The sequence below is a fragment of the Homo sapiens genome, chromosome 8, assembly GCF_000001405.40.
Source record: "Homo sapiens chromosome 8, GRCh38.p14 Primary Assembly".
Taxonomy (NCBI): domain Eukaryota; kingdom Metazoa; phylum Chordata; class Mammalia; order Primates; family Hominidae; genus Homo; species Homo sapiens.
Genome location: NC_000008.11, coordinates 57,480,870 through 57,502,655, shown reverse-complemented (window position 1 = coordinate 57,502,655; position 21,786 = coordinate 57,480,870). Strand labels below are relative to the sequence as shown.

General features: G+C 38.1%; 1 long non-coding RNA gene across 1 annotated transcript in view; it reads right to left on the bottom strand.

Moving 5' to 3' along the window:
• The window catches only part of LOC105375855 (uncharacterized), an 88,963-nt gene that overhangs the window by 49,010 nt on the left and 18,167 nt on the right, over nt 1–21,786 (bottom strand). Inside the window, exon 2 of the long non-coding RNA XR_928920.3 lies at nt 9,681–9,788. This is a non-coding gene — a long non-coding RNA (uncharacterized LOC105375855). The remainder of the gene's footprint in view (nt 1–9,680; nt 9,789–21,786) is intronic.

The following is a 21,786-nucleotide window of genomic DNA, read 5'->3' as shown; positions in this document are numbered from 1 at the left end:
TGGAAGCACATTTGTAGCTATTGAAATCAAATCTTTGGTAGGTAGATTAGAAACTTTATAATCTAAAAGTTAATCTATAAAGAATGCTTAAGATTCTGAAACATACCACCTGTCTTTTGATTTTTGTTTTAACACCACTCTCATTATTATTTAAAAATAAAGACTTGGGCTTAGCAAAGAAAAGGTGCAGAGTAGCAACTTGGAGAGAGGGTGAGGTTCCCACACCTGTGGTTAGTGGTAACGATAGACAAATACTCAGATGAAAGTAACCTAAATCAGAACAAGATATGTATAGGCAAACCTAATCATGGATGAAAGAGAAGGCTTAGAAGAAAGAGGAAGGCTTAGAAGAAAGGTGTAGCCAAAGGCTGCTAGGGTCTGGCTTGGCCAGTAAGGTTGACATCACCTTGCCATCCTCACACATGGGAAAGCACACACCACATTTCCTGCCTGCCCCCAACCCCACACACAGAAACACACATGCACACAGAACCACACACACAGACACACAAGGCTTACCTTCATGATATCTGCCTAAAGGAAAGGTTCCTTTAGGAGATATATCCAAAGAGGAATGCTCATTTTATATCTATCTCCTCTGTGAAAAAAAAAATCTTATTCAGACCAAAAAGTATATTCCTCATATTCCTCTCAGCCCCATCCTGAAAAAAAATGTAAGTGGCTGATGCTGCCTGCAACCTAAGCTTCTCTAAATTCTGGTTTAAGAGCTTATGAGGCTGTCCATGTCCTTTGGGACTGTTGTTGCCCATCTCTTACTCTGTCTTCATCCAAGTATGACGATCGACTCGCCTTTGTCCTTAAAATGTTCATTATTTCTGATATGTTGTGGGGTTTAGATGAGAGCTGGCCCTTTTCTTGGGGTTATCTTTACCCTCTGTGGCATCATGACTTCAGGTACCAGGCTGGGATCTACCCTACGAAAAGCATCACAATCTGTTTATGGAAGGTTATGAAGGATTTGAGATGGAGAGCAGTGTAAACCAAACATAAAATCCTAAGCCCCCTCAACCAACTGAACGGACCCCTTCTGGGCCAAGGGAATCCTGAAACACTGAGTTCCAGCCATGATGGGAAGGGAAGTTTGACATGCCTCCTTATACCCTCTCCCTTTGGGGTTTAGGCTCAACTAACCATCACTAACATTAAAATAGAGATCATAAGACTGACAAAACACAAGGTTCTTTGTGGCAATAAGATATCAAATTTCAACGTGACTCTGGTATAGCATCACTTGCTCTCTGAAAGCTACTACATATGAGACTTCATCTACGAAATGAAGGCCTTGGCTTACACAACCCCCTTATCTTAGCTCAAGCTAGTGACTTCTTAAGTCTTTAGATAAAGCTTAACCCTTTCAACCAATTGCAAGTCAGAAAATCTTTGAATCTGCCTATGAACTGTAAGTGCCCCCTCAAGATATCCCACCTCTTTAGACTGAACCAGTGTACACATTCCAGGTATTGATTTATGTCTTTGGTTGTAACTCCTGCCTCCCTAAAATGTATAAAACCAAACTGTAACCTGAGCACTTTGGGCACACTTTCTCAAGACCTCTTGAGACTATATCCTGACAATGGTCACTCATATTGGCTCAGAATAAACTTCTTTAAATATTTTACAGATTTTGGCTTTTTCATCAACAGCAACATGACCAGAGAGGAATCATATGCTTCCTAGGCATGCAGCCACCTGAGCCATGTGAATTGTAACAGCAGACACCACAATAAGGCTCTGAAACCCAGTGGTTCTCAGTGTGTGGTTCCTGCTCCAGGATCTCTGGTGTCTTCTTGGGAACTTACTAGAAATGCAAATTCTCATACCACTTTCCAAATGCCTGAATAAGAAACCAGGCATGGGACCCAGTTTAATAAGCCCTCCAACTGTTTTTGTTTTTGTTTTTTTTTTGAGACAGAGTCTCGCTCTGTTGCCCAGGCTGAAGTACAGTGGCATGATCTCAGCTCACTGCAACCTCTGCCTCTCAGGTTCAAAAGATTCTCTTGCTTCAGCCTCCTGAGTAGCTGGAATTACAGGTGTGTGCCACCACGGCCGGCTAATTTTTGTATTTTTAGTAGAGATGGGGTTTCACCATGTTGACCAGGCTGGTCTCAAACTCCTGACCTCAAGGGATCCTCCTGCCTTGGCCTCCCAAAGTGCTGGGATTACAGGGGTGAGCCACCACACCCAGCCCTGACTGTTTCTGATCACCTGCAGTGGTTTCCCTAAGAACCACTGCCTAATGCATGTTTCCCCTATGCTTGTGGTGGGTCTTTACCATACAGACTCTCAGACCCCTTGGCAGAATCTCTTGATTTAGTAGTCCTGGGTAGGATATAAGAATGTGCATTTTTCACATGTGTCTTGGGTGATCTTTACCATTAGGCACAATTTGAGGACATTGCCCTTTCCCTTCCTTGAGAGCTGTGTGTATCTACATCACCCACTCAGTCATAGTTAACAAATATTTATCAGTTATTTTTATGTAGAATAAATGTTTTAAATCAAAGTGCTAAAGGTTGCTTTATTTTGTTACTAAATAATATTGGTCATCATTACTATGCTCTCATTTTTTTCTTCATTAGTTGTGAAGAAGGAAAGATTCTTGGTACCCACTTTCTCCAAGTTCTTATGGGTGAGAAGGAAGGCTATAGACAGCTCAAGCACGTGTCTCTTTGGAACATCAGCCTGATAGGACTTACAGCAAAAAGAAAAGCTGATTTTGTAAACATCCAGTTTTAAAGTTACATATATTTTTAAGCCTAGACCATTTTCACACATCAATTACAAAAAGATGATAGCATATACAATTACAGAAAGCTTACCTACCATTCTTGCATCAATTTGAGCCGAAATTATTTTCTAGCCAAAACAATTCAGTGTCTATCATCTAAACTCCTTCTGTTTCAGTATTAATGAAAATTCAGTAAATGTCTCAACTACAAAAAAGCTCATATCTCTTTCTTTGCTATACCATCTAAAGGTCCATATTCCAACTGCATCTCTGTTTCTACCAGATAGGTATAAATACAGAGAAAAAGTAATTTTCAGTATAGTATGCTAATGAATCCATGCCAGAAATCTAATTATCCTCTAGTGAACTAGTTTAAGTACTTTTCAAGAAGGATACAATGAAACTGAAATAAACATTTGTTGACCACATCCATCAACTTTGTTCATCTCTCTTAACATCAGCAATTACTTATTCTCCCTGAACCACATTATCATAATACTGACCTGGCTCTGCAAAGGGATGATTTATTTTGTATATTCTAATAGATGAGCCTGAAGCATGCAGGCACCTGACTAAATTTTGTGGTGATGTTTGCTGCATTTTGAGTTAGAAGACTTTCCCTAAGAGTAATCATTCTTGTGCAAACAGGGATAATCCCTGGGAGTCCTATGTAGGGGTCCTGTCAGGCAAGAAAGCAGCAAGCAGAAATCAGGCAACAAAGGATATTTGAGTTAATGTAAAACATATCAGAGACTCATCTGCATCTATAATGGCCTATAGAGAATGCCATGACTTGGGAGAAGGTAGATGGGCTGTCCCTCTCGTCAGTCCACCGACACTTCTGTAGCAATAAGCTGCCATCCACAATGTCTTTTTTCTATTAATGCTGACTGACATTGTTTTGATTTTAGACACGCTTCACCCAAGAGAAAATGCTTAGTGAGGGTTCACAAGCGGGACCAGCTACACAAATTGCAGGGCCCACAGCAAAATAAAATTGTGTGAGCCTTGTTCAAACATTAAGAATTTCAAGATGGCAGCAGTTGAGCATCAAAACAAGTACAAGTTCATTCTGAGGGCAGGGCCCTGGTGCCGGCCCAGGTCACAGGCCCAGGAAGCCAGTTTGGGTCACAGCATGTGTTACTAGAACACGACACTTCCAATGGATGACTGTATTGTCACAATAAGTCCCTGTCTTTTTGGATGCCTTTGAGCATAACCATATAAAATTAATTTATTAAGACTTAGATTGTTATATATTTTGTCACTTTCTACTACCAACAACAGGAAAAGGATTGGAAAGACAGCACAGACTATAACTGGCAGTTGGTATGACAGCCGATTAACTGATACTGAAGGCTTGGAGGAGCATATGTTATCAGAGATGGCTATGGCGTTTCTTGGAGAAAAACGGTACAAAAGTCAAATCTGGAACATGGTGTTTGTATCACACAATAATTGACCGTTCAGGAAATCACGTTATTCTCTTCTATTATTTGTTTCTATGTGTTTGTTTTTACTAGATAACTGTGGAAAAGTGACTTAATTTCAACTTTTTTAATACTCAATTTTTTTTTTTATTTTGTAAAGCTTACAACATACCAGGAAGTGGCAGTTACATAAAAAGCAAAAAAGGGGGGCCGGGCGTGGTGGCTCACGCCTGTAATCCCAGCACTTTGGGAGGCGAGGCAGGCAGATCACGAGGTCAGAAGATCAAGACCATCCTGGCTAACACGGTGAAACCCCATCTCTACTAAAAATACAAAAATTAGCCGGGCGTGGTGGCGAGCGCCTGTAGTCCTAGCTACTCGGGAGGTTGAGGCAGGAGAATGGTGTGAACCCGGGAGGTGGAGCTTGCAGTGAGCCGAGATCATGCCACTGCACTCCTGGGCAACAGAGTGAGACTCTGTCTCAAAAAAAAAAAAAAAAAAAAAAAAAGCAAAAAAGGCTTACAAACTAAAAATAGGAGAGATGCTCGTTACCCGATTTCTCCTAATTATTCTGTCTTGCCATTGGTATTATTAAGTTCATATTTTCATTATGAATATTTGTATTAGAGCTTTTTCTTTTGTGCTTCCAAAATATCATTTGCAAAAGGGGGAAGTATTCATCCACAATGTTTTCTAAGTTGTATCTTTCCTGTCAGTTTTCAAAGAATGATTTCAAGATTAACTTAACAGAACTACATGGTTGGAGAAACAGTTCAAACTTTTAATCTTACTGAGAATCAATTATTTTTAAAGACACCTTACATCTCTCTGTAAGTGATGGGGCATTTGGGCTTTCTGTGCCAAATATTTCCCCCCTTATCCTCTCCTGACCCAAAAGTTGTCCAGCCCTCTTGTTAGCAGGTGGTTTCTTGTAATATCCAGCTGTTGGAATAGATCCCTGATGGTATGAGAGCCCTTGCTAAATTTTTGGTTACTGAAAATGGTGTCCAGAGTGATCCTCAAATGTGAAGGTTGGTGTCACCACCTGGATTGTGTTTCCAGATGCTCCACTTGTCAGATGACCAAGGAAGAAGCTGGAGGAAGGGAAGAACACCCTGGCACCTGCAGGAAAGCTCTGTGGCTCTGTGATCTTCCTCTTTGCTTGAATAAATACATTTGATCAAGCCCTTTCTGAACATGTCTTCAAGGCAAAAATTTTCAAACATCATATTCTTTTATTCGTTTATTCATCAAACATTGAACATGCAAGTGTGCTCAAAGCACTCTGCATTCTGGGTAGAGAAATAAAAAAGTAAATACTCTACCCTGAAATAAATTCTTATGTACCACAAGATTAACCAATAAAAAGATGTACATGGGGTAAGAGCTATGGTCAACAAAACTCACTGTAAGTGAGAGCAGAAGGTATTAGGGAAATGTCCCAGCTGAGTCTGGAAGGACAAGTGGGAATTATGCAGGTGAAGGGGGCAGTTCCTGGTGGAAGAACTGAGCAGGACTGGGGAGTGGTGTGAGATGAAGCTTAGCAGGTAAAAAGAGCCCAGACCATGGGAGCCTTTAATGTCCTGGTAACATATTTTTATTTTATCCTGAAATAATGAGGTACAACTGAGGAATTTCAAGGAGTAACTGAGCATATGTCACAGGCATGATTACTTTTTGACAAAGTATAAGCCTAGCATATTCAGTGTCATCTAATTTGGAGTTAATTAAGAGGAAAGGAAGCACTCTAAGATGGTGGTTTCACAAATGTGTCTTCACATTGAAATCTCCTGGGAGAATTTCAAACTGATGTCTACATCCCATTCCCAGAGGCTGAGCCACACTGTATCCTGGTCTTTGGAATTGTAAGATACTCAAGTGATTTTACTGTACAAGCAGACTTGGCAACCATTGTCTAAAAAAATATGTAGAATTAGAAGAGAAAACGGGTGAGGAAGAACCATAGTAAAAGTGTTGGGTGAACAAGAGGAGCCTGCCAAGGAGAATAAGAGGAAACATTATGGTGGAAGAGAACTGGGGAAGTGTAGTTTCCTGGAAAGTGGAGAAGGGAGATGCTGGATGAAAGGGTAATCAAAATAAGAAGATGGACAAGTGATCACTGGATTTGGCATACAGAAGGAGTTGGAAGGCTTCACAAGGGCAGTTCCAAGCAGAGAAGGCAGACTGCAATGAGTTTTTGAGTGAATGAACAATGAGAAGGTTTTCAACAACTTGCTTACAAAGAAAAAATTTCCAGTAGTAGAGGAAAGATGGATCTTCTCTCCTTCAATATTACTAATATCCTTCAGGGTTAGCCATAACATATCTTCTCTATACTTAACCCTCTACCCAAATGACTCCCATCAACCGCTCTCTGAAAACTGTTAAATAAAATTTTCTTCTTGATAGCACCAATGTATGCTGACACATTTAAAAGTGGCCTCTACTATTAGAACTTCATTCTCAGCCTTGCCTTCCTGGTGGGAAATATAACTATTATGGTTGGAGAAGGTGGTTAGATTTTGGCACGTAGAAATGGAGATCAACTTGTGTGAGCTTTCATTTTTATATGAGTTTTCTGTTGCCTTGGAAACCATGGTCTTTGTGGAAAAAGCAATGTATTTTGTGGATAGATGATCAAGAATTCAGGTATGCTCTGTATAAACATTGTGCATCTGTGTGAAGAAGCATTGGCCATGCTTTGTTGGCAAGAGGGCCAGAATTTGGTTTTGGTATATGTCACATGTCTCCTAAAGCATATTTGCAAAATGTTTCTTGGGCAGAACAAATATTATAAGGAACATAACTTCATGAGTTTTTCTTTGAACACATGCCTCACAGAAAGTACAGCCAAAAGTGGAAAAGTGACCCAAAACTTAAGCCACATACTTGTCTTTCATTCATTATTTCTGAGTATTCTAAGATATGTGAATATTGCATTTGTTCCATCTTCATTACTATTAAACTTGCAGGTTCATGTCATAGAGTCACAGCTACCAGCCAATAGGAACCTGATGATTTTATCCCTAAGGGAAACAGAGCATTTAGGCGCCTTGAGGAAAGATGGAAAAATCATAAACCACAGTGGCTATTATGCACTTCAGAAATCAAAAGGCTTTTCCTGTAAATTGCTTTGAGGAATTTTGAAAAATAATCATTAAAAAACAGCAATCTTAAAGGCCCCAACCAGCAATAGGGTCAAGTTGGTCATAGACTTTAATTTACAACTTTCCCTTTTGAAGAAACGAATATTCTTCATAAATAAATTTAAGATGCTTTTTGGGACACTTCTCCAGCATTTGCACAATAAATATTTGTTAAGTGATCATTTTGTTCTTGGTCTAAAAATACAGGAATCATAAGACATCATTCTTTCTCTTGATAGGCTTACAGTCTAGTAGGGGACAGATATTTATAAGTTAGTAAATCTAGTTAAGTATAGATAGGCTACATAGTGGTTCATAGGCAACAGTGGTCAGTTCAACATGGGGAAATATAAAATAATAATTATGATAGGAAAAGCAATAAACTTAAAACAAGAGATGTTCCTTAAAGTGAATTTCTAAACTTGTAAAGTCTTCACCTGTGGGCAATGGACAAATGGACCAAGGATTTTTGCCTCAAACTGTACTACCAGCTATCCATCTCTCAGGCATTGAGCATTCTAAGAGCTTGGTACCTAATACCACTCAGACTATGATAGAACCATTTCATCATTAGGCCAGTCTTTTATTAACAGGCTCCCTGGTAGCCTGAAGTACTTAAAGTATTATACTTCTTTAAATGCCAGTGATCAAGGGCAGTTTCTTGGAACCGCCATTGTGAGGCCACCCAAATCCTTCTGTATGCCAAATCCAGTGGTCACCTGTTCATCTTCTTGTTTTGATTACCCTTTTATTCTGCATTCCTTCTTCTCCTCTTTCCAGGAAACTGTACTTCCCCAGATTTCTTCCACCATAAACTTTCCTCTTATTCTCCTTGGCTCCTCTTGTTCAGCCAACACTTTTACTATGGTTCTCTCCTCACCCATTTTCTCTTCTAATCCTACATACCTTTTTAGACAATGGTTGCCAAAGCTGCTTGCACAGTAAAATCACTTGAGAATCTTACAGTAATTCCAAAGCCCAGGACACACTGCAGCCCGGTCTCTGGGGATGGGGATGCAGAAGAGAAGCTTATTCAACTGATGGCATCTAACCAGTTAAAAGTATCTGGTGACAATTTGTATTATACATCCATCTCAGCTGTGTAAACTCCCTATGATCTCCTTTTTTTTCCCAAAATAAGTGAATTTCCTATTTTTTATTTGCTCTATTTGTTTTATACTCTTCTAAAGAATGATTATGCATATAAATTTTCTCAAGATTTGTCAAATAAGGAAGTATTTCCACTGGGAAAAATAACATATATAAGAAAAAGTCAGGTTACTACAAAGAAGTAGAAAGATTTTTTTAAAAAATCACTTCCACTTTATTGTCCTAACATCTTTCTCTTTTGGATAACTGCACATAAGGTCCTCTGTGTGCAGATACATTTGACTGTTGTTTTGTTTATTGTTTAATTTGTTTTGGTTTGTTTCTACTATCAAGGAACTTAAAATAAATCAAATTATAAATAGATAACTCCAGAAAGAAAGATAAGTAGCATATAGAATGTGGAAGTGGTGAGAAGACATGAGTCAGTCAAGAAAGCTCCTAGCTCCTTGGAGGAAAAGTATGTTGATTAGAATTCAAATAAAATAGAAGAGAAAGACTTCTGGTTTTAAAGTAACACAAAAGCACAGATTTTGCACCCTCCTGTCTTAGAATTATCTCAATGCAGTAAGTATACAGAACAGGATCTCCGACTTCAATAAAACTGGAGACATTTGTTACTTCAAACTATAATATGTAAAGCAAGTAAAGAAGTAGAAACTGAGTTAGCAGTGTGCAAAAAAAAAAAAAAGGAAATGTAAGTCTTGCAGAGAGGAAGACTGTTATAAAACAAATAATTAAACTCATGAAATTTGTTTAGTCTTGGGAATTGGAAGCACATATACCATGGAAGGTGGAGTGAAGCAAGGGCTGGAAACGGCAATTGGTTGAAATTCTATGTGAGGGTTGGTTTTTTTCCCACCCCAGTCTGCACAGTCAGCAAGGAGAACCAAGTGATACATGGACAGCGGGAGGAAAAAAATCAATAAAAAATTCAACAATATTTGATCCAAAGGTATTATAGCAGAAGAAAGAGAATACAGAACATTGGAAAGAAAATTTCCAGTGAAATAATTAAAGAAAATTACCAACATTGAAAGTATGACTGACTCATGAAATTTTAGAACACTGGGGATAAATAAAACTCTGAGTGTTGATAGAGAGAATAATAAATAAATACCACAAAATGAGCTTTGGAAATAAGAAAGACGTTCAACTTCTTAGTAGAATATTGGATGCTAGTAGATGATTGAGTCATATCATTAAATTCTTAGTGAAAATAATTTTCAAACTAAAATTGCTACTCACCTGTGAATGAAGCTGAGCTATCAGACCAGCAATGTGTAAAACATTGAACCTCTCATCCTCCTGTTCCTTTTCTCAGGAATCTACCAGGGCATATGCTCTCTCACTGACCTGATCAAATAAAAACAAGGTAAAATGAGAACAGCCTGGTGTTCAGGAGCTGAAGAATAAACACCGAGCAGAAAGCGAGGGGGCCCGCAGGGCACTGGAATGACAGACTCTAGCATCACTGTGCGGTGGCCCAGAGCACTGACACTCAGGCTTTCTGTGGAGAAGGAACCATTTTTGTTTTGTTTTATTTTCCATCCCACCAGAGGCAGATACTTTTGTAAGACAATAAAAATAAATTTTGAGAAAATCGTCTTGATTTAGGGTAATGAGACAATATCAATTGCTATAAAAATTTCTAAAACTTAATTTCTGTACTGATTTTATTATGGTTGGGGGCAAACAGTCCTCTCACTGGAACTGGCATGAACATATTACTGAAAATATGAAAGTCAGTGCCAGGAAACCCATAGGTAAAGCGATGCCACTGGGGATAGGATGGAGAGTAAGAAAGGGCTGGCAGGAATGAGGCAGGGGCCACATGTATTTTTCGTATATGACGTTTGTCCCATTAAATGTCAGCTATGAACATGTATTTTGCCAAAATTAAAATTAAAAAAGAAAAAGACTACAAATAGGAGGGAAATATGCTGGGGTAGTGGGAAATAGGTCAAGCTGCTTGAATGGCAAGGCAAGCTGCAGAAACTGATGAAAGTCAGAAAGAGCTACAACTTGGAGGAAGGCCTATGGGTAGTGGGTTGTGTGTGACTAGGGTTGAAAATCCAGGAAGATAAGAGAAAAAATTTAATCACTAATTTTTTCAACAAAGATTTAGGGAATGTCTACTACAGGCTAGGCACTAGGAAACAGAATGGGGGAAAATATTCTTGCTCTTTGGGATTTGTCTCTTTTGGAGATACTTCCATTTATGTCCATTGCTTTTTTGCTCATTTTTCCATCAGGTTACAATTTCATCAGGTTGTAATTCTGGAGATTACAACCCAGTTGTGGGAGTCTGACTATAAACAGGTAAGTAAGTAAATGATGTCTATGTTAAGTGCTACTAAAGGAAGATGGGGTAGAACCATGATTCTGTACGCAAGTGATGCTATAGCTTTGCACCCACAGCCAGAGAGTTTTACCTCTCTTTCTATGAAGCCTAAGAAGGAAAGAGGTTCCGGGAAGGTATAGGAAACATGTTTTTATGAAATGGGCATGCTTGGTTTAGTACTCCAGCTTCAGGACCTCAGCTGCAACTGATATCATAAATTGAAGTCAAGGGAGTCTTTAAAGTTTAGCCTCTTATAATCCAGCAGGACAGAGTTCCTGCGTCACACACACAAAATCAATATTTTCAGTGTAAAATCTGATGAGAATATCATCACTGAGAGTAGATGAGAAAGGAACTGAAGATGCCCCTAGATGGCAGGCTTGCCCAGGAAACCAAGGAAAAAAAGGTAGCCATGACGTCTGGAGGGGACTTTCGGAGCCAGATCACTGCTTTATCCCCCTTTCTCTTCCAGCAGTTTTGGAAAGGAAGAGATAGAGATTGTGCAGAAGAGAGAGGTAGAGATTATTTTTTGATCACTCAATTTGTGACAGCCACTGTCGGGCACTCTGCATAGATTTTCTCATTTAATCTCGCAGCCCTTTAGACTGGTATTATTTCCTTCAGTTCAGAAGTAAGTAAACTAACAATAAAATGGTAAGTGACTAGGTGAGGAAAAATATCCAACATCTGAAAACAAGAACTCAAACCCAGGTCTGTATGTATCTGGCATGGGAACGGAGGAGGTGAGACTTCCTTGATCAGGAAGGAGGCAGAGGCTCTGGGCTGAGGAGAAAGGTGAAGAACTTGAAGGGAGAAAGGTCATGAATCTCTGAAAGGTGCTCTGAGATCTGAACTCACTCATTATTTTTTCTCCATAAAGTCTTGTAACATGAGTTCTAGCAGGTTATATGACAGTGTTGGTGGATGAAGACGATAGAAGGGCAGGGATATTCATTTGCTGGGGCGCCATAGCAAAGTGCCACAGACTAAGTGGCTTAAAACTAGAGATTTATTTTATCATAGTTCTGGAGGTTAAACATCCAAGATGAAAGCATTGGCAAGGTTGTTTCTTTCTGAGGGCTTTCTCCTTGGCTTCTAGATGTCCATTTTCTCCCTGTGTCTTCACATGGTCTTCCCTCTGAAGGTCTATGTCTGTTTCTTGATCTCCCCTCCTTATAAGGGCACTAATCATATTGGATTAGGCCCCAACCTAATTACCTTATTAGAACTTAATTATCTCTTTAAAGACCTTATCTCCAAACACAGTCACATTCTGATATGCTGCGGTTTAGGACTTCAACATATAAATTTTGAGGGAGCACAATTCAGCCCATGATAAAGAAGCTTTCAAGGTGTAAACTTGAAAAATCACCAGATCTATCCATTTGGAAAGGAGACTTTATTCCTTATAAAGGCTGCCCATTCCACAGGCTGGGAAGTGCAGCCTCCAGCAGAGACTTTTATCTGGCACTTTAAAGGAGGAAGGAATTATTACTTTTTAATAATAATTATCCTAACAGGTGTGGGCCATTTGTCTTTTTTGAAAATACTTCTATTTATGTTCATTGCTTTATTGCTCATTTTCTGATCAAATTATTTCTTTTTCTTCTTTTTTTATTCTATTGAATCGAGAGTTCCTTATATGTTTTGGATATTAACCCATTATTAAAATGTGGTTTGTAAATATTTTCTCTCATTTCTTAAGTTGCACTTTCAGAAGGATTTTAATTGCATGTAGTCCCATTTGGCTATTTTTTTTTATTTTGATGCCTGTGCTTTTGATATCATATCCAAGAAATTATTGCCAACATCAGTTTCATAAGATTTTCCTCACGTTTTTTTTCTAGGAGTTTTATAGTTTCAGGTTTTGCATTTAAGCCTAGATTACATTTTTTGTTGATTAGTGTGTATGGTGTAAGACAATTTCCCAACACGATTTGTTTAGGAGACTATCCTTTCCTGTTTCCTTACTGTGTTTTCTTGGTATTCTCCCTTTTTTAATGCAGAAGATACAATTCTGTATTTATTTGAAAATAATGAACTTGGGAAAGCCAACTTAATAGCAAAATAGATCAGTTGCCTAAATACACAAAATAGGTATCATTTTCTATACATCAACAATAACCAATTTAAGAAGTCAACAGCAAAAAAATCCCATTTCAGTTCAGTTCAGAAGTACGTAACAACAAAAATTTATAAAGTTTTTAGAAGAAGACTAACAAGTGTTCAAATTGTATCTGAAGAAACCGTATTATTTAACTGAAAGAAAGAAAGGGAGACTTGAGTAGACGGAAAGCACACCATATTTCTGCAAAGGGAGATTCAATAGTGTAAAAGTTCTCAAATGAATTCATAACTTTCTTCATTCTCAATTAAAATCAAAGTAAGAGATTTCATAAAATTTGATATCTATATTCTAAACTTTAAGTGTAGAAAATATTCTTGGCATTTTTCTTAAATGTCACTTGATAGTATATGTGTGGGTTTATTTCTGGGCTTTCCATTCTGCTCCATTTGTCTGTATGTCTGTCTTTTTGCCAGTCTCATACTGTTTTAATCGCTGTAGCTTTATAATATATTTTAAAATGAAGACGTGTGATGTTCCAGCTTTGTTCTTCCATCTTGAGATTGTTTTGGCTCTTTGGAGTCCTTTGTAGTTCCATATGAATTTTAGGATTTTTTTTCTATTTCTGTGAAAAATGTCAATGGCATTTTGATAGGGATTGGATTGAATCTGTACACTGCTTTGGGTAGTGTAAAAATTTTAATATTAATTCTTCCAATCTATATGTATGGGATGTCTTTTCATTTATTTGTGTTTTCTTTTGTCAATGTTTTGTAGTTTTCTGTGTAGTAGTCTTTCACTTCCTTGGTTAAGTTTATTCCTAAATCTTTTATTCTTTTTGACATCTGCAAACAAAGATAATTGTAGTTTTTCCTTTCTGATTTGGATGTCTTTTATTTATTTATTTATTTTTTGCCTGGATGTTCTAACATTTCTAGTACTATGTTAATTTGAAGTGTCAAGAATGACTTTGTTTCAGACCTTAGAACTAAAGCTTTCAATTTTTCACCATTGAGTGTGATGTCAGCTGTGGGCTTTTCATATATGGCATTTATTATGTTGAGGTCTATTTCTTCTATTCCTAATTTGTTAAAAGTTTTTATCATGAAAGGGTGTTGAACTTTGTAAAATGCTTTTTCTGCATCTATTGAGATGATTGTGGTTTTCTTTAATCTTTCATTCTGTTAATGTGACATATCACATTAATTGATTTTTGTTTGTTGAACCATACTTGCATTATAGGGATATATTTCACTTGGTCATGGGGTATGATAATTTTAATGTGCTGTTGAATTTGGTTTGCAAGTATTTTATTAATTTAACTTTAAGTTCAGGGGTATATGTGCAGGTTTGTTATATAGGTAGACTTGTGTCATGGGGATTTGTTGTACAGATTATTTTATCACTTAGATGTTAAGCCTAGTACCCATTATTTATTTTTCCTCATCTTCTCCCTTCTCCCACCCTCCACCATCCTGTAGACCCCACTGGCTGTTGTTCCCCTCTATGCATCCATGTGTTCTAATCATTTAGATCCCACTTATAAGTGAGAACATGGGGTATATGGTTTTCTGTTCCTGTGTTTGTCTGCTAAGGATAATGGCCTTCAGATCCATCCATGTCCAACAAAAAAACATGATCTTATTACTTTTTGGCTGTGTAGTATTCCATGGTATATATGTCCCACTTTTTTTATTACTCATTATTTTTTATTATACTTTAAGTTCTGGGATACATGTACAGAATGTGCAGGTTTGTTACATAGGTATACATGTGCCATGGTGGTTTGTTGCACTCATCAACCAGTCATCTACATTAGGTATTTATCCTAATGCTATCCCTTTCCTTGCTCCCCACCCTCTGACAGGCCCTGGTGTGGGATGTTTCCCTCCCTGTGCCCATGTGTTCTCATTGTTCAACTCCCACTTATGAGTGAGAACATGCAGTGTTTGGTTTTCTCTTCCTGTGTTAGTTTGTTGAGAATGATGATTTCCAGCTTCATCCATGTCCATGCAAAGGACATGAACTCATTCTTTTATATGGCTGCATAGTATTCCATGGTGTATATGTGCCACATTTTCTTCATCCAGTCTAATATTGATGGGCATTTGGGTGGGTTCCAAGTCTTTGCTATGATGAATAGTGCTGCAATAAACATATGTGTGCATGTGTTCTTATAGTAGAATGATTTTTTATCCTTTGGGTATATACCCAGTAATATGATTGCTGGGTCAAATGGTATTTCTAGTTCTAGATCCTTGAGTAATCACCACACTGACTTCCACAATGGTTGAACTAATTTACATTCCCACCAACAGTATAAAAGTCTTCCTATTTCTTCACATCCTCTCCAGCATCTGTTGTTTCCTGACTTTTTAATGATTGCCATTCTAACTGGCATGAGATGGTACCTCATTGTGGTTTTGATTTGCCTTTCTGTAATGACGAGTGATGATGAGCTTTTTTTCATATGTTTCTTGGCTGCATAAATGTCTTCTTTTGAGAAATGTCTGTTCATATCCTTTGCGCATTTTGATGGGGTTGTTTTTTCTTGTAAAATTGTTTAAGTTCCTTGTAAATTCTGGATATTAACCCTGTGTCAGACGGATAGATTGCAAAAATTTTCTCCCATTCTGTAGGTTGCCTGTTCACTCTGATGATAGTTTCTTTTGCTGTGCAGAAGCTCTTTAGTTTAATTAGATCCAATTTGTCAATTTTGGCTTTTGTTGACATTGCTTTTGGTACTTTAGTCATGAAGTCTTTGCCCATGCCTATGTCTTGAACGGTATTGCCTAGGTTTTCTTTTAGGTTTTTATCGTTTTAGGTCTTACATTTAAATCTTTAATCCATCTTGAGTTAGTTTTTGTATAAGGTGTAAGAAAAGTGTCCAGTTTCAGTTTTGTGCATATGGCTAGCCAGTTTTCCTAACACCATTTATTAAATAGGGGATCTTTTCCCCATTGCTTGTTTTTGTCAGGTTTGTCAAAGATCAGATGGTTGTAGATGTGTGATGTTATTTCTGAGGACTCTGTTCTGTTCCATTGGTCTATATATATGTTTTAGTACCAGTACTATGCTGTTTTGGTTACTGTAGGCTTGTAGTATAGTTTAAAGTTGGGTAGCATGATGCTTCCAGCTTTATTCTTTTTGCTTCAGATTGTCTTGGCTATACAGGCTTTTTTAGTTCCATATGAAATTTAAAGTAGCTTTTTCCAATTCTGTGAAGAAAGTCAATGGTAGCTTGATGGGAAGAGCATTGAATCTATAAATTACTTTGGGCAATATGGCCACTTTCACGATATTGATTTTTCCTATCCATAAGCATGGAATGTTTTTCCATTTGATTGTGTCCTTTCATATTTCCTTGAACAGTGGTTTGTAGTTCTCCTTGAAGAGATCCTTCACATCCCTTGTAAGTTTTATTCCTAGGTATTTTATCCTCTTAGTAGCAATTGTAAATGGGAGTTTGCTCATGATTTGACTGTCTATTATTGGTGTATAGGAATGCTTGTGATTATTGCATATTGATTTTGTATCCTGAGACTTTGCTAAAGTTGCTTATCAGCTTAAGGAGTTTTCGAGCTGAGATGATGGGGTTTTCTAAATATACAATCATGTCATCTGCAAACAGAGGTATTTTGACTTCCTCTCTTCCTATTTGAATACCTTTATTTCTTTCTCTTGCCTGATTGCCCTGGCCAGAACTTCCAATACTATGTTGAATAGGAGTGGTGAGAGAGGGCATCCTTCTCTTTTGCCAGTTTTCAAGGTAATGTTTCTAGTTTTTGCCCATTCAGTATGATACGGGCTGTGGATTTGTCATAAATAGCTCTTATTATTTTGAGGTTCATTCTATCAATTTATTGAGTGTTTTTAGCATGAAGGGGTGTTGAATTTTATTGAAGGTCTTTTCTACACCTGTTGAGATAGATGATGTGGTTTTTGTCATTGGTTCTGTTTATGTGATGGATTACGTTCATTGATTTGTGTTTGTTGAACCAGCCTTGCATCCCAGGGATGAAGCAGACTTGATCATGGTAGATAAGCCTTTTAATGTGCTCCTGGATACAATTTGCCAGGATTTCATTGAGGATTTTCACATTGATGTTCACTAGGGATATTGGTCTGAAATTTTCTTTTTTTGTTGTGTCTCTGCCAGGTTTTCATATCAGGATGATGCTGGCCTCATAAAATGAGTTAGGGAGGAGTCCCTCTTTTTCTATCGTTGCAAGAGTTTTAGAAGGAATGGTACCAGCTCCTCTTTGTACCTATGGTAGAACTCGGCTGTGAGTCCATCTGGTCCTGGACTTTTTTTGTTGGTAGGCTATTAATTACTGCCTCAATTTTAGAACTTGTTGTTGGTCTATTTAGGGATTCAATTTCTTCCTGGCTTAGTCTTGCAAGGATGTCCGTGTCCAGGAATTTATCCATTTCTTCTAGATTTTCTAGTTTATTTGCATAGAGGTGTTATAGGTGTTTATAGTATTCTCTGATGGTAGTTTGTATTTCTGTGGGATCAGTGGTGATCTCCCCTTTATCATTTTTGTGTGTCTATTTGATTCTTCTCTTTTTTCTTCTTTATTATTCTGGCTATTAGTCTATCAATTTTGTTAATCTTTTCAAAATACCGGTTCCTGGATTCATCCTGGACTTGATGCTGTCATCATGATATTAGCTGGTTATTTTGCAGACTCTTTATGTGGTTGCTTTATACTGTCACTGTCTCTGTACTTCAGTGTGTTTTTGTAGTGGCTAATGGTCTTCCCTTTTCATATTTAGTGCTTCCTTCAGGAGCTCTTGGAAGGCAGGTCTGGTGGTATTTGCTTGTCTGAAAATAATCTTATTTCTCCTTCACTTATGAAACTTAGATTTACCAGATATAAAATTCTGGGTGGAATTTCTTTTTTTTTTTTAAAGAATGTTGAATATTGGCCCCCGATCTCCTCTGGCTTGTAGGGTTTCTGCTGAGAGGTCCACTGTTAGTCTGATGGGCTACATTTGTAGGTAACCTGACCTTTTTCTCTAGCTGCCTTTAACATTTTTAAAATTATTATTTTGACCTTAGAGAATCTGATGATTATGTGTCTTAGGGATGATCTTCTTGTGAAATATCTTACTTAAGTTCTCTGCATTTCTTGAATTTGAATGTTGGCCTCTCTAGCTAAGGTGGGGAAGTTCTCTTGGATGAGAGCCTGAAATATGTTCTCCAAATTAGACCCATTCTCCCCATCTCTTTCAGGGACACCAATGAGTCATAGATTTGGTCTCTCTACATAATCTCATAATTGTTTTGTTTGTTGTTTTTTATTCTTTTTTCTCTATTCTTGTCTGTCTTATTTCAGAAAGTCAGTCTTCAAGCTCTGAGATTCTTTCCTCTGCTTGTTCTATTCTGCTATTCACACTTGTGATTGCATTATGAAATTCTTGTTGTGTGTTTTTTAGCTCTACCAAGTTAATTTTTTTCTTTTCCATACAGGCTATGTCATCTGTCAGCTCCTGCATTGTTTTCTCATGATTCTTAGCTTCCTTAGATTGGGTTTCAATGTATTCCTGTAGTTAAATCATCTTTATTCCTATGTATATTCTGAATTCTCTTTCTGCCATTCCAGCCGTCTCAGCTTGGTTCAGAACCCTTCCTGGAGAGGTGCTGTTGTTGTTTAGAGGAAAGAAGGCACTCTTTTTTTTTTTTTTAAGTTTTCAGGGTTCTTGTGCTATTTCCTCCTTATCTTTGTGGGCTTATGTTACTTTAATCTTTGAGGTTGCTGACCTTTCAATGGGTTTATTTTTCTTGTATTCTATTTGGTGATCTCAAGGGTTTAATTGTGGTATTAGGTGGATTCAGTCAACTGATTTCATTTCTGGAAGACTTTAGGGGACCAATGCTCAGCTCCCCGCTCCTGAACTGCATGTTCTAACTCTGGGGCTTGTACTGGGCCCCAACTTTCTTCTCTGGTTCCTCAAATTTAGAAATCCACTCTGCTGTAGGGGGTGGGGTGCTCCCAGATTGCTGGTCACTAAACTCTGATGGATGGTCTCAGCCAAAGCATTTCATAGTGCAGTGACAGTGGGATCCATCCTTGTTCTGTTCAGGTCAGACCAGCCCCATTTGATGGGCAAGACTGTTCTGCAGAGTCCAGGACTTACAGCTCACCTAGGGCTAAAGTCTCCTATGGGAGCAAGTCAAAACTAGGGGGATGGCCATTCCTGGCTCTGGTCTGCTACAGATACTCCTGTACCAAACCCTCTGGGCTCCACATTATTTGACTTGCTGCCCCTACCACTTCTCTAAGCAGCTCTGTCAACTCAAGTGTCTGTGGTAGTTGAGGGGTCTAGCTGTTGGGATTCCAGAGGCCAATGGTGTGAGAGTGGGTTGCTCCTTTCCAGTTCTGCTTATTTGTCCTGGAGCCACTGGGGGCCAGGAATGAGTCCAGGTGCACAGTAGCCCCATGTGGGGTTCCCAGGTTCCTCCCCCTTCAGGCCAGCTTCTGTATCTTCCCTCTCTATATATTCTGTACCTTTCCTCTGAAGATCTGTTAGGGAGTGCACCAGTCAACTTGGTCCCTCGGTAGCATCTGTTTCACCTGTGTCTAGTTGGCCATGTTCAAACTTTCACCAAGTCTTATTTTCTGAGGATTCCTATATCTATGTTAATCAGGCATATTGGCCTGTAGTTTTCTTTTCTTGCATTGTATCTGTCTGGCTTTGGTATTAGGCTGATGATAGACTCATAAAATGAATTTGGAAGTGTTCCATCTTCTTCAGTTTTTTGGTAGAGTTTGAGGATTAACATTAATTCTCATTTAAGGGTTTAGTAGAATATACCAGAGGTGCCTTCTCATCCTGAGCTTTTCTTGTTGGGAGGGTTTTTATTACTGATCAGTCTCCTTACTAGTTATAGGTCTGTTCAGATTTTCTATTTCTTCATAATTCAGTTTTGGTATAGTGTATGTTTCTAGGGATTAATACTTTCTTCTAGATTATCTAATGTGTTGATGTGACTGTTTCAAAGCTGAAACTCTCTTTCATGTAGTTATGTGTAATACTGTGGTTATTCAGTGGACCTCAGTGGGGTGGGGGTGCATCTGAAAATGTGCATGTGTATGTGGGGGGATTTACTAGTTGTCCTGATCATGAGGGGATTTTATTGGCATTTGATAGGTAGAGGCCATGTATTGAAAGTGAAGATGAGGCCGGGTATGGTGGCTCACGCCTGTAATCCCAGCACTTTGGGAGGCCAAGGCAGGTGGATCATGAGGTCAAGAGATCAAGACTATCCTGGCCAACATGGTGAAACCCTGTCTCTACTAAAAATACAAAAATTATCTGGGCATGGTGGCACACACCTCTAGTCCCAGCTTAGTCCCAGCTGCTCAGGAGGCTGAGACAGGAGAATCACTTGAACCCGGGAGGTGCGGAGGTTGCAGTGAGCTGAGATTTCACCACTGCACTCCAGTCTGGTGACAGAGTAAGACTCCATCTCAAAAAAAAAAAAAAAAAAAAAAAGGTGAAGATGAGTTCCTTCCCCAAAATACCCAAGCATAACCTTTAATACTTACATGCCATAATCCTCAAACACAGAACACTCCAAGGTTGTAGATAAGCCAGAATTTAATGAGAGTAATGAGTACAGACAACAAGATACAACATAAAGGGCACAGGCAAATCCCTGATTTTGTCACTAACCAGGTGTGTGTATCTTAGACCAAATATCTTACATTAATCTCCATTTAATTGAATATAGCATGGATAGAAATACACAGCTAATAGAATCAAGCTGAAGAGTTAATAAGAGGGTGAATGTAAGTAAAACATATGGTAAGCAATTGAAATTGTGCATGCTATTCTCACTTTTTTTTTCTGACATAATTAGTTTTGAGTCATTTCTCCATAAACCTCTGCTCTTGTCCACTTCTCCAAGAACAGGGAAATGGCTGTCTTAAAAATCATATAGTATGTACTTGAGCACAAAAGGTATTTAGTCTGCTTGTTTCTTTCCACTCTGCTGGAAAACTAACAGTCACTTATTACTAATAAAAGTAGAAAGCTTTTGGATCAGGTTCACAATTAGTGTAGCAAAAAATGAAAATCCTAGTTATGATTTAGATAGGAAAATAAGTTCTCCAGCAGGAAGAGAGCTACATACTTGAGTTCCCAGAATGTAACACCATCAGATAAATAAGGCTCATAATGTTATTTCTGAATTATCAAAAATAATATCAAATTATATCCTGTATTCAATGTTTAACAGAAGCAAATAAGAATGTTGTGAAAAAATGTTAATGTTATCATTATTTTTTAATGAATTTTTACTAGCAAAAGCTTTAAGCACTAGCTACCCTAGAGATTCCCCTGTGTGAATTACCTCATCTCTTGACAGGAATACATTAAAGCAGCATTGTCTATATAGGCATACCTTGAATATATTGCAGGTTTAGAGGCAGACTATTGCAATAAAAGAAATATTGCAATAAAGCAAGTCCCAGAAAGTTTTTGGATTTTCAGTACGTTTAAAGTTGTTTATATTGTAGTCTATTAAGTGTGCTTCATGTCTTTAAAAGAGTGTACGCAGCTTAATTGAAAACACTTTATTGTTAAAAAATGCTAATGATTATGTGAGCCTTCAGCAAGTCATAATCTTTTTGCTGATGAAGGGTCTTACCTTTATGTGGATGGCGGCTGACTGATCAGAGTAGTGGTTGCTAAAGGTTGGGGTGGCAGTGGCAAATTCTTAAAATAAGACAACAATACAGTTTGCCACATGAATGAATTCTTCCTTTCATGAGAGATTTCTCTGTAGCATGCAGTGCTTTTTGATAGCATTTTATTCAAAAAACTTCAAAATTAGAGTCAATTCTCTCAAACCCTGCTGTTGCTTTATCTACTAAGTTTATCTAATATTTGAAAGGCTTTGTTATCATTTCAACAATATTCACATCTTCACCAGG